General features: G+C 43.5%; 1 protein-coding gene across 1 annotated transcript in view, besides 3 other annotated features; it reads left to right on the top strand.

The window, feature by feature from the left end:
* Positions 4,675-4,724: a silencer, noted in NCBI's record as "silent region_4410". NCBI's record gives its function as "represses an Ori minimal core promoter by ATAC-STARR-seq in GM12878 lymphoblastoid cells {active_cell/tissue: GM12878}" and the evidence as "EXISTENCE:reporter gene assay evidence [ECO:0000049][PMID:35858748]".
* Positions 4,765-4,974: a silencer, noted in NCBI's record as "silent region_4409". NCBI's record gives its function as "represses an Ori minimal core promoter by ATAC-STARR-seq in GM12878 lymphoblastoid cells {active_cell/tissue: GM12878}" and the evidence as "EXISTENCE:reporter gene assay evidence [ECO:0000049][PMID:35858748]".
* KANSL2 (KAT8 regulatory NSL complex subunit 2) overlaps positions 5,022-13,081 on the top strand; it is a 29,028-nt gene continuing 20,968 nt past the window's right edge. Inside the window, exons 1-4 of the mRNA NM_017822.4 lie at positions 5,022-5,073; positions 5,619-5,878; positions 7,427-7,605; positions 8,110-8,224. Of these exons, the coding sequence (NP_060292.3) occupies positions 5,628-5,878; positions 7,427-7,605; positions 8,110-8,224 (545 nt within the window). The 5' untranslated portion in view covers positions 5,022-5,073; positions 5,619-5,627. The remainder of the gene's footprint in view (positions 5,074-5,618; positions 5,879-7,426; positions 7,606-8,109; positions 8,225-13,081) is intronic.
* Positions 5,055-5,324: an enhancer, noted in NCBI's record as "active region_6285". NCBI's record gives its function as "activates an Ori minimal core promoter by ATAC-STARR-seq in GM12878 lymphoblastoid cells {active_cell/tissue: GM12878}" and the evidence as "EXISTENCE:reporter gene assay evidence [ECO:0000049][PMID:35858748]".

Below are 13,081 nucleotides of genomic sequence, written 5' to 3'. Positions count from 1 at the left end.
GAGTTCAAGACCAACCTGAGCAACAAAGTGAGACCCCATCTCTGCACACAGACATACAAATTAGCCAGGCACAGTAGTGTATAGTCCCAGCTACTAGGGAGGCTGAGGAGGGAGGATTGTTTGAGCCCAGCAATTGGAGGCTGCAGTGAGCCATGATTGACCACTGCACTCCTGCTGGGCTATAGATCTATACCCAGTCTCGGGAAAAAAAAGTTAAAAAAAAAAAAACTAAGTGCTGTGGACTGTACTAATGGGAATATGGCAGTAAACAAACATTCTGCCTTCAAAGAATTTACAAATAAGTAAAACATAGTATGTTAGGTGGTGATAAGCACTTAAAAAAAATTTTTTTTTTTGAGACGAAGTCTCACTGTCTCCCAGGCCAGAGTGCAGTGGTGAGATAACAGCTCACTGCATCCTTGACCTCCCTAGGCTCAAGTGATCCTCCCATCTCCTGAGTAACTGGGACTACAGGTGTGCACCACCACGCCTGGCTAATTTTTTTAGAGATGGGGTCACCCTATGTTGCCCAGTCTGGTCTTGAACTCCTGGGCTTAAGCGATCTGCCCGTCTGGGCCTCCTTCACTCTTGTTGGGATTATAGGTGTGAGCCACCACACCTGGCCATAATAAGCACTTTGGAGACTAAAACAGGGAATAGGGGATAGGGATGTGTGTGTGCATGTGTGTGTGTGAGCACGTGTGTGTGTTTAGGTAACTAGGGCTGTGGGAATTGGAAAAAAGGTGGCTAGGGAAGGCTTCATGACCAGAAGCTTCATGACCTTTAGGGAAGACCTGAAGGAGGTGACAGCAAGTCATGGGAATAACTAGGATAAGATCATTCCAGGAAACGTGAGACATCAAAGGTTCTGAGGTGAGAATATGCTGGTATGTTTGAGAAATAGCAAGGAAACCAGTGTAGCTGGTATAGGAATGAGTGGGGAGGGGGTATTGGAGAGAGGAGAGTAGCAGGATATGAGGTTAGAGAGGCAATAGAAAGCCAGATACAACAGGACCTTGTATAAAGACAGTGAATGGAACAGACGCTATTGGAAAGTTTTGAGAAGGGAAATGACATCCAACTTAGGTTTTAAAATGTTCATTTGGGCTGCTGTGTTGAAAATAGATCATAGGAGTCAAGGGCAAGGAGCTCTCACAATTTAGGTAAGAGATGAGGGTGGCTTGGACAGGTTGGAAGTACCCAAGGTAATGAGAAGTGATGTATCTTTTTTTTTTTTCTTTGAGATGGAGTTTTGCTCTTGTTGCCCAGGCTGGAATGGAATGGCGTGATCTCAGCTCACTGCAACCTCCGCCTCTCAGGTTCAAGCGATTCTCCTGCCTCAGCCTCCCAAGTAGCTGGGATTACAGGCATGTGCCACCACACCCGGCTAATTTTGTATTTTTAGTAGACACAGGGTTTCACCATGTTGGCCAGGCTGATCTTGAGCTCCTGACCTCAGGTGATCCACCCGCCTCAGCCTCCCAAAGTGCTGGGATTACAGGTGTGAACCACCTTGCTCAGCCGAGAAGTGATACAGCTTGAAGATGGAGCTAATAGGATTTGCTATGAGGTGGAAGAGAAGGAAGTGAAGGATAACTCCCAGTGTTTGTCCTGACCAACTGGAAGGTTGGGGTTGTCATATACTCAGGTAGAGATGACTACGGGAGTAGCGGGAGGTTGGCTTTAACATTAAATTTGAAATGCCAATTAGACATCCAAGTGGAGATGCCTACTGGACAGATGACTAGAGAGTCAAGTTCAAAGGAGGGATCCAGGCTGGATATATGCATTTGGGAGATAACAGCTTATGAATGGGATGAAACAGAGTGAGATAACTAAGGAAGTAGTAGTAGAAAATAGAAATGTTCAGTGTTTAGAATTGGGGAAAAGAGAAACGAGACAGAGAGTGGGTGACTGATGTAGATGGGAAACTAGGAAGAGTATGGAGATCTAGAAAGAGTATAGAGTTCTAAGGAGGAGGAGTGGCCAAGTGTGTTAGACATTGCAAAGTGGTCTAATAAGATGATGCCTGAAAACTTCATTAGAATTAGCAAGGTGAAGGTCTTTGATAACTTTTTTTTTTTTTTTTTGGAGACAGTCTTGCTCTGTCACCCAGGCTGGAGTACAGTGGCACAATCTTGGCTCACTGCACCCTCTGCCTCCTGGGTTCAAATGATTCTCCTGCTCAGCCTCCCAAGTAGCTGGGATTAAGGCACATGCCACCACACCTGGCTAGTTTTTGTACTTTTAGTAGAGATGGGGTTTTACCATGTTGGCCAAGCTGGTCTTGAACTCCTCGCCTCAGGTGATCCACCCGCCTCGGCCTCTCAAAGTGCTGTGGTTATAGGCGTGAGCCACTGCGCCCAGCCGTTTTCATCTTTTTTCTCACTTTTCTCTAGGATTAGCCCCCCAAACTCTAGTTTCCTAATCCCTATTTACAAATAGCTTCTGGTCTACTTTAACCTCTTCAATAGCTACAAAGTGTTCAGTGAATTAAAAATAACCATCTACCTCCAGCCTGGGCAACAGAGCAAGACTCCATCTCAAAAAAAAAAAAAAAGCCATCTACTTTGTTAAACAGAACAAAGAATTTGCTGACATCTTGAGCTCTTAATATCTGCTCCCTCCTTTCACTTAGAAGTGGTTCTAGGCCGGGCATGGTGGCTCACGCCTGTAATCCCAGCACTTTGGGAGCCTGAGGTGGGCAGATCACGAGGTCAGGAGTTGGAGACCAGCCTGGTCAATATGGTGAAACCCTGTCTCTATTAAGAATATAAAAAAATTAGCCGAGCATGGTGGCGCACACCTGTTGTCCCAGTTACTTGGGGGGTAGGCTGAGGAAGAAGAATCCCTTGAACCCAGGAGGCGGAGGTTGCAGTGAGCCGAGATCGCGCGCCACTGCACTCCAGCCAGCCGGGGCGACAGAGCAAGACTCCCGCTAAAAAAAAAAAAAAAAAAAAGAAGTGGTTCTAAATAGTAATGTTTTGTCTGTCTTGGACTTACAAGAAGGATTCTTTTTTCAACTAAGACCTTCAGTAAATTCATTGAAAGAAAGTCTTTTGTTTCTTCCCCATCTATTCCTGTGTCTCTTCATATTGTTCACTACAGTAGTTTTAATGTTGCTTTTTGATATTACTACATTTGGTTGCAGATTCGGATTCCCAAATTTTCTGTGACATGACTGCCTCTGGCTGTTTTTTAATTATAGGGTGTTTATAACAAAACATCTTTTTTCGTACTCCTGAGGGTTGGTCTGTTTGCTTATGTATATAAATCATTGTTATTAATATTATGTTTGTATTGCATCCATAATCCAAAGCTATCCTAGAATGTTCACTCCAAGAGAGCAGGGTTATCTTCCTTGTTCTCTCCTGGCACTTAGGTGCTCAATAAATATTCGTTGAATGAATGAATTTCAGGCCTTCTTCTAGGGCTGCTCTAGTCTCTGGAAACAGCACAACCCCCAAGGTTTTTTTTTTTTTTTAATAATTTATCGGTCCTATAGTGTATTTATTTATTTATTTATTTATTTATTTATTTATTTATTTGAGATGAGGTGTCTCCATATTGCCCAGGCTGGGATCGAACTCCTGAGCTCAGGTGATCTTCCCACCTCAGCTTTTCAAAGTGCTGGGATTACAGTGGTGAACCATGACGCCCAGCCTTAGTGTTTTTCTTGAGGGCTGTGGAATCTTTATGTTCACTTCCACTGGGACTCATGCTCACTTGCTCGTTAGGCATGGATAAAACATCTTTCTTAAACTGACAGTGAGGAGATAAGAGATGCTGGAAAGCAAAAAATGTCTAGAAGGGTTATGGGAAGAAAGCTAGGAATCATTTCTACAAGTGGTGGAGATGACAGAAAGATGCTTTTAAACTAAAAATCCTTAAAGGATGGTATGATTGGTATTGTGTCTGTCATTTTTATGATACCTGCATTATTTAGCATGGAATTTTAAAGACAGGGCACACAGTTATGAGAAGCAGCCCTAAACTAGAACAAATATTTCCTTATTCTCAGTCCAATGCTCTTTACTATATAAGAGGCAATAAGGGATAAAGAATGCGGGCTGGGTTCAAATTCGTCTTCCTTTCCCATTTAATAGCTATGGTCCCATTCTGTTCCTCAGTCCTCTTATCTGTAAAATGGACATAATACTAACCTGTACCTCTTAGGGTTGCTTTGAAAAATTCAATGACTTTATACATGTAATTCCCAGAATCAGTAAACACCCAAAAAATGTTTCTCAGTGTTCTCTATACCAAATGTTCAGTACATGTATTGAACTGTTCACAAAAGAAAGCTAAAGACTTTTTATGTGTAAACAGTGATCCTCCAGCCTCTGTCTGATTTATTTTTTATTTATATATTTTTTTGAGACGGAGTTTCGCTCTTGTTGCCCAGGCTGGAGTGCAATGGCGCGATATCGGCTCACCGCAATCTCCGCCTCCCAGGTTCAAGAGATTCTCCTGTCTCAGCCTCCCGAGTAGCTGGAATTACAGGCGTGCACCACCACGCCCGGCTAATTTTGTATTTTTAGTAGAGACGGCGTTTCTCCATGTTGCTCAGGCTGGACTCGAGCTCCCGACCTCAGGTGATCTGCCAGCCTCAGCCTCCCAAAGTGTTGGGATTACAGGCGTGAGCCACCGCGCCCGGCCTGTCTGTCTGATTTTATACTAGCTGTGTACAGTGGTGAGGGAACAGCAGCCTAGGACCACAGACTGAGGGTCCAAAAGTAGCCGGAAAACGAGCCACGCTGCAAGGTGGAAAAATATTAGCTGGCAACCCGCCCCGCAGCCCGCTCTCCGCCCCCTTCCCCGGCTCACTCTCCTCCGGGCGGAGTTGCTGACAGACAGTCTGTCTTAGCCACCCCAACCTCGCATTTTCTCAGCGCTCCGCCCTCCCAGACACGATAGGTAGTTGGTCTCGGCCAATGGCGACATCCTGTCATACGAGCGGTAGCCAATGAGTAGCCAGGAGTCCGGAAAGGGGCGAGGCCGATCTGAGAGCCGCTGGCGCCACTAGAGAAGGGCGAGCGGCGCGGCAGAGTGCGGCGCAGCGCAGCTCCTGAGGTAAGATGGCGGTGCTCTTTCCTCTAAGCTCTTGCGGTTGGGCTGCTATTTCGCTCTTTTTGTCAGCTCAGAGCTGCTACTCCGCCTCAAAGCAGTGTCAGAGTCAGTCTCCTTCCTGCAGGCTTCCAGGAGCCAGGATCTCCGGTGACTGGAGCCGTAGGACAAAATGGCGCTCGCATAGGCTTCCGAGGCCAGGCCCAGTCGTGCGCTCTGAGGCAGGCCGGGACAAAGGCGGCGTGCGGGGAGGCGGCGTGGCCGCCGCGTGGGGCTGGTGTTGTCGCTTCCCTTCGTGCTGCAGCTGTGCGAGTCCTGAAGATACATTCAGCGTGGTGTGGTTCGGGGTGGGGCCGGGCATGGAGGGACACGCTAAAGGGAGGCAAAGCCACAGATGCCTGTGGAGACTTGGGGAGGGCGGCGGGGACTTACGGAGCGTACCTTACGGGGACGACTTCTGCATGTCCTTTGGAAACTGTCCGCGCGATCTGTGTGGAGCAGGAATTTTCGGGAAGGGTAAGGGCTTTTTGGTCTTTCGTTTGACCCCGCAGGTTTTGGTTATGAACAGGATTCGGATTCACGTCTTGCCAACCAATCGGGGGAGGATCACTCCAGTGCCCAGGTCTCAGGAACCTCTGTCTTGTGCATTCACTCATCGTCCATGCTCTCACCCTCGTCTGGAGGGGCAGGAGTTTTGCATTAAGCATATCCTTGAAGACAAGAATGCACCCTTCAAGCAGTGTAGTTATATATCGACGAAGAATGGAAAAAGATGTCCCAATGCTGCCCCAAAGCCAGAGAAGAAAGATGGGTATATATGTATAGATATATATGTCGTTTTTCTTAAAGCGAGGGGGTATGTGATATGATGCGGGCTTCAGCATAGCTGCCGCGTTTGAGATTTTGTCCTTGTAAATTTGGGGTTATGGTTGTATCCTTGGAAAACTGAAAAAACGGTGAAGACTGGAAAGACCCTTGAGTTGGATTACTTAGTTCACCTCTTTGGTTCTTTTCCCTTATCTGTAAAATAAAGGCATATTCTAAATTAGTCTTTTTTTTTTTTTTTTTTTTTTTAAGAGAGATGGGGTCTTGCTATTTTGACCAGGCCGGTCTCAAACTCCTGGCCTCAAGGTATCCTCCCATCTCGGCCTCCCAGAGTGCTGGGATTACAGGCGTGAGCGACCGCGCCCGGCCCTAAAGTTAATTTTTTGGCGGGGGGGCGGCGCACAGATTCTTGCTTTATTCCCCAGGCTGGAGTGCAGTGGAGATCTCGGCTCACTGCAACCTCCTCCTTCCAGGTTCAAGCGATTCTCCTGCCTCCTAAGTAGTTGGGACTTAAGGCGTGCGCCACTATGCCCGGCTAATTTTTGTACTTTTTAGTAGAGACGGGGTTTCACCATGTTGGCCAGGCTTGTTTTGAACTGCTGACCTCAGGTGATCCATCCGCCTCGGCCTCCCAGAGTGTTGGGATTACAGGAGTGAGCCACCGCACCTGGCCCCTAAAATTCTTCTTAATGGAGGGGTGTGTGGCTCTATTTGGCTGTCCATGAATTTTGTTAAATAACATGCAAAGTTATATATGTGTGTATTCTTCTGTAAGAGGCTTCATAGTTTTCATCATGTATGCAAAGGTATCCATGCAAAAACATAACCTGACTAGATAATTTTTTACGTATCTTATAGTTTTAAAATTGTGTCCCTGGCTGGTCGCAGTGGCTCATGCCTGTAATCCCAGCACTTTGGGAGGCCACGGGAGGAGGATCACTTGAGGCCAGGAGTTGGAGACCAACCCAGGCAATACAGTGAGACCCCGTCTCTACAGAAGATTAAAAAACTCGCTGGGCATAGTGGCGTGGACATGTAGTCCCCACTACTTGGGAGGCTGAGGTGGGAGGATCACTTGAGCCTGGGAGTTCCAGACCAGACTTGGCAACATAGACTTCGTTTCTACAAAAAACTAAAAAAAATTTGCTGGGCACAGTGGTGCATGCCTATAGTTCTAGCTACTTTGAGGCTGAGGCAGGAGGATCGCTTGAACCAAGCAGTTTAAGGCTACAGTGAACTATGATTGCACCACTGCACTTTAGCCTGGGCAACAGAGCAAGACCCAATCCCTTGCCTCAGCCTCCCAAAGTGCTGGGATTACAAGGGTGAACCACTTCATCCGTCCTGTTATTTCCCTTTAATAAAGTCAAATGAGTTGACCTTGGGCCAGTTAAATTCCTCTGACTTGCATTTTTAGAAATGAATGTAATAGTCATTTTAATTCCCTAAAAATGATTTAAAGATTAGGGACTGTGAACATTATTGAACGCTTTCAAGAAGGAACTTATAAAATATTAATGTTTTGTCTCTTCAGGGTGTCCTTCTGTGCTGAACATGTCCGTAGGAATGCCCTGGCACTTCATGCTCAAATGAAGAAGACCAACCCAGGGCCTGTGGGTGAAACACTCCTGTGCCAGCTGAGCTCATATGCTAAGACAGAGCTGGGGTCTCAGACTCCAGAAAGTAGTCGCAGTGAAGCCAGCCGAATACTAGGTAAGGACCTTCTCTCCTGGAATGAAAAAGGAGGAAGAAAGTTAAGGGGGAACTATTTTGGGTTAGCACAATGCCTTGATCTATTTGGCAATATTGTTAATTCATCAGGAATTTGGTGAGAATGCTGGGATTGCTTTGTTGTTTACCAGTTCTTTTGAATTTGAAGTTGTGTTTGCCTAGGTTTACTTTCCTGAGTTGGTGACCATTTCTTTCATTGCTTTTTTAATGCTCAGCAGCTTTGTTAGGTAATTTCAGGAAACAGTAATTTTAAGTTGATTTTTCTGTTTGAGAGGGCATGGTTTACTCATTTATGTTGTAAGTAATCTTACTTGGGTTGTATTTTCTTAAAGCGTTTTTATTTGCCAGTACCTTTGTACTAAGTGTTTTTTTTTTTGTTTTGTTTTTAAAATTTCAAGGTTTGGGTTGATAAAAGTAATCTAGTTTTGTGTGGTGGAGTTACAGAGGTGGGAAGTCTTAATGGCTGCTCTCCCTTCCTTGCCTCAGATGAAGACAGCTGGAGTGATGGGGAGCAGGAACCCATTACTGTGGATCAGACATGGAGAGGTGACCCTGACAGTGAAGCTGATAGCATAGACAGTGATCAAGAAGATCCCCTAAAGTAAGTTGTAACTCCACATAAGGCATTTGAAATGTAGTTAGTATGTGGAATGTAGTGCTGCATGCTGTTAATAAATTAGTAACCTAGGAGGGTTGAAGACAGCTATTTGTCAGCAGTAAGAGGTTCTGTATATAAAAGTGGCATGGTTCATTGTCGTCTTGCTTCAAGGCAGGATGATTCTTTTTTAGAAGCCTTGTAATTTAAAAAAAGTTTGAACACCAAATTCTACGTATGAGAAAGTATAGGGGAGAAAACAGGAAATTTAGACATGGGAGTGTGGGAGGTGGATTGAGAAATGGTCAGACCAGTTTAGAGAAGAGAAAATGGTTGTGAATGGGTGCTTGGCCTAAACCTCAGGAATAATGTGATTGTAGTTGAATACTTCTGCAAAATGTCGTGTTTATGGGATTTATAAATTTTTTAAAGTTATATATTGTTTTAAATTGACAATTGTACAATGTATGGGGTACAGTGTGATGTTTGGATACTTGTAAACCTTGTGTCATGATCAAATCAGGGTAATTAGCATATTCATCAGCTCAAGCATTTAGTGTTTTTTTGTGTGTGGATTTTTTTTTTAAAAAGAAGAATAAAAAGGTATTCAAGAGTTTGGTTTCATGCCTAAGAAAGAGAAACCGATTTAGAAACCCAAAAGTGATTATATCTTAATCAGGTTTATATCTTAGTAAGCTTCTGCTCTTCACTTAACCCATCATCACCGTAGGAGTTGTAGAAGCATAAAAACATTACCACTCTGGAGTCTCATATTTCTGTGTCTCAAGGTCTGGGTGTAGTTTTTAAAAATGTTTGCCTGCTGACTTCTGTGTCTTAACACTTTGTACTGACAGTTTATGTAAAGGGACTGTAAATAGTGGAAGGGGTAATTTCTAGATTGACTATTGGGCTTTTGTTCTTGCAATAGCATTTTCTTCATTACTTTGGATTCTTTGGTTTATAAGAAGTCATTTAGGGTTACATTTTCTCCTGACCCTGCTTAGCTTCTGAGATCAGAGGAGGTTGGGCATGTTCCGGATAGTATGGCCGTATGTTAGGGTTACGTTTTCTGAGTAGAATAATTTCATCCATTTCTATTGAGTAATCTCACTGTGGTCAACTATTCAGGAAGTACTAGTTTAGAAAACCCATCTAAGTAGTTGGAAAGGGAATGACTGTTCTCTTGCAGGATTCTCTCACAAATAGTAACTTAAACCAACATATTCATTCCTTTTTTTTTTTTTTTTTTTTTTTTTTGAGATGGAGTCTTGCACTGTCACCCAGGCTGGAGTGCAGTGGCATGATCTCAGTTCACTGCAACCTCCGCCTCCCAGGTTCAAGCAATTCTCCTGCCTCAGCCTCCCTCCCAAGTAGCTGGGATTATAGGCACCCACCACCACACCCAGGTAATTTTTTGTATTTTTAGTAGAGATGGGGTTTCACCATGTTGGCCAGGCTGGTCTCGAATTCCTGACCTCGTGATTCACCTGCCTCGGCCTCCCAAAGTGCTGGGATTACAGGCATGAGCCATCAGGCCCAGCTTCATTCCTTTTTTTTCCATTGTGGTTCTAGATGGCCAAACTTGCTGCTTTGAAGAGATGTATGCTCTCTAGGGTTACAAAGGGAGTGTCGTTTGGTGTGGTAAACACTCAGCTTAAGGTCGAGAAACTTGATTTTGTTAGTAATCTAGAGTGGATCAGTCTCTAGGAGGCACATGGATGCTGATTTAACTTACAGGAGGCTGCTGTATAAACCAAAATACCAGGTCATTTTATGAGAAATACAAATGTGGAAAGTACTAGGCAGTTGATGTCACTCTCTCCTAGAGGAAACATGTTCAGAAGAGAAAATAAAGCCCCAAATATGGTCAGCTATTAGGCAACTAAGTATAAGGCTTTCGTTAATTTTCCTCAGTGAGATTATTTTTTAAAAAAATTTAGACCCACTAAATTTATGCATTTTTAGGCATGTAAATAGAGTTGTTCAGTGTCTCCTTATGATTACATATTACTATCTTCTTATATTTAATAATATAGTAATTTAGTAGTATGTCCACTGAGTAAAATTCTTTTCATTAAGAATTTTTATCTTAGGGCACCAGTGTCTTTGTCATCAATAGGATCACTTTTTGAATCATCTAATAGTTTAACCACATTTATCTTCAATTGCTTGTTACACAAAGGGCAATTTTATATTGTTTATGATGTTGCTAGAGACTTGATCCTAACTAGAATATTGTTGGCATAGATTTTTTAAACTTCCTGTTAGTATATATATGATTTCCCTCAAAGTAACCACTTACTTAATTGTTTTGTTAAAAGTAAAGCTTGTTTATGGCCAGGCGTAGTGACTTACGCATGTAATCCTCGCACTTTTTTTTTTTGACACGAAGTTTCACTCTTGTCACCCAGGCTGGAGTGCAATGGTGCGATCTCAGCTCACTGCAACCTCCGCCTCCCGGGTTCAAATGATTTTCCTGCCTCAGCCTCCCGAGTAGCTGGGATTACAGGTGCCCGCCACCACACCCAGCTGATTTTTGTGTTTTTAGTAGAGACGGGGTTTCTCCATGTTGGCAGGCTGGTCTTGAACTCCTGATCTGAGGTGATCTGCCCGTCAGCCTCCCAAAGTGCTGGGATTACAGGGACGAACCAGTGCGCCCAGTGATCCTAGCACTTTGGGAGGTCGAGGTGGGAGGATTGCTTGAGCCCAGGAGTTCGAGACCAGCCTGGGCAACATAGGGAGACACCGTCTCTACGAAAGATTTAAAAATTAGCCAGACGTGGTGGTGCACGTGGTCTGTAGTCTTAACTACTCGAGAGGCTCAAGTAGGAGGATGGCTTGAGCCTGGGAGGTTGAGGCTCTGTGATCGTGCCACTGCATTCCAGTCTGGGCAACAGAGGGAGACCCTATCTCATACACACAGAAAAAATAAATAAAAGCTTGTCTACAACATCTAATACTTAAGAAATTTTATCCTTAAGGTAATTGTTAAATTTTCATTTCCCTTTTTTAAATAATAATTGTATCATATGACCTCTATAAACATCTATAACTTGTTTGGCTGAAGGTTATTTCACATTATTGAATCTTCATCATTGTTTTCCAAATAAATTTGGAGAATGCCCTTTATAAGAGAGACTATTTAGTAGAATATAAGGTGAGACCCTCTTTTTTGAAGATGAATGCTAATAATAAAACCTTGACTTTAATTTGTGCATACCAGAGCAAGGGGAATTAGTACATAATTTTAATGTCCGGCTCTGAAAGTCTGGCGCATTCATCTTTAAGTAAATGAGCCATCTGTTACATGAACCAGCCGGCATTCATTTAGTAGGTTGCTTACTGCCCCCACCAAATGATTTCTAATAACTTCTAATAGTAATGGCTTCAGATAGGTACATTTCAGTTCCAGACCATTGGTTAAATTCTCTTCTGACAGGGTGCAGTGAAATTAATTTTTTAAAACAATTTTTATTTTTCTCATTTTCAGTATTCAAAAAGTGAATTTCATTTTAACAAACTCTATATTAGGTTAAGGCCTCAGTATTTTAGGTTACAGACAGGTTAATGTAGGCATAACCCATTTTTCTGAAGATGTAACTTAGTCACCTTGTGAAACCGTTATGTATTTATTTTTGAGACGGACTCTCACTCTGTTGCCAGGCTGGAGCGCAGTGGCACGATCTCAGCTCACTGCAACCTTTGCCTCCTGGGTTCAAGCAATTCTTCTGCCTCAGCCTCCCTAGTAGCTGGGACTACAGGCGCACGCCGCTGTGCCCGGCTAATTTCTTTCTTTTTTTTGTATTTTAGTAGAGATGGGGTTTCACCATGTTGCCCAGGCTGGTCTCAAACTCCAGAGCTCAGGCAGTATGCCCACCTCGGTCTCCCAAAGTGCTAGAATTACAGGCTTGAGCCACCGTGCCCAGCCAACTGTTACATATTTTTAAAGCCTTTTCACATTTTCTGATAGTCTGTTAGCTTTTGTCATTTCTGTAATTTGCTGGTTTTATTTTATTTTATTTATTTTTAAATTTATTTTTTATTAATTTTATTTTATTATATATTATTTTTATTTATTTATTTAATTTGTTTATTTTATTTAATTTTTTATTTTTGGAGACAGAGTCTCGTTCTGTCGCCCAGGCTGGAGCGCGGTGGTGCGATCTCGGCTCACTGTAATCTCTGCCTACCAGGTTCAAGTGATTCTCCTGCCTCAGCCTCCCGAGTAGCTGGGATTATAGGTGCTTGCCACCATACCTGGCTAATTTTTGTATTTTTAGTAGAGAGGCTGTTTTGCCATGTTGGCCAGGCTGGTCTCGAACTCCTGACCTCAAGTGATCCACCCACCTTGGCCTTGTGCACCACACCTGGCCCTTTGCTGGTTTTATTAACCATGTTTTGATTTTTCTTAATTTCTTTTCACTTTTACTTCAGAATATAGTTAAGTACCTCTTATACACAGGTAATATTGGCTTTTGTTTATATTTATGAAGAAATTTTGGCAGAAATTACTTGCTCTCAGTCCTAAAGTTAATTTTGTATATTCTGTGTATTTCAGTGCCTTAACAGCTAGTTTTTAAAAATAAAGCAGAGGCTGGCCACAGTGGCTCACGCCTGTAATCCTAGCACTTTGGGAGGCCGAGTCGGGTGGAATGCCTGAACTCAGGAGTTTGAGACCAGCCTGGGAAACATGGTGAAACCCCATCTCTACTAAAAATACAAAAAATAAAAAAATTAGCCAGGTGTGGTGGCACACGCCTGCAATCTCAACTACTGTGGAGGCTGAGGCACGAGAATTGCTTGAACCCGGGAGGCGGAGGTTGCAGTGAGCCAACATTGTGCCACTTCAGTGCAGCCTGGGAA

The sequence above is a fragment of the Homo sapiens genome, chromosome 12 (assembly GCF_000001405.40).
Source record: "Homo sapiens chromosome 12, GRCh38.p14 Primary Assembly".
Taxonomy (NCBI): Eukaryota; Metazoa; Chordata; class Mammalia; order Primates; family Hominidae; genus Homo; species Homo sapiens.
This window is presented reverse-complemented; position numbering and strand designations above follow the sequence as displayed.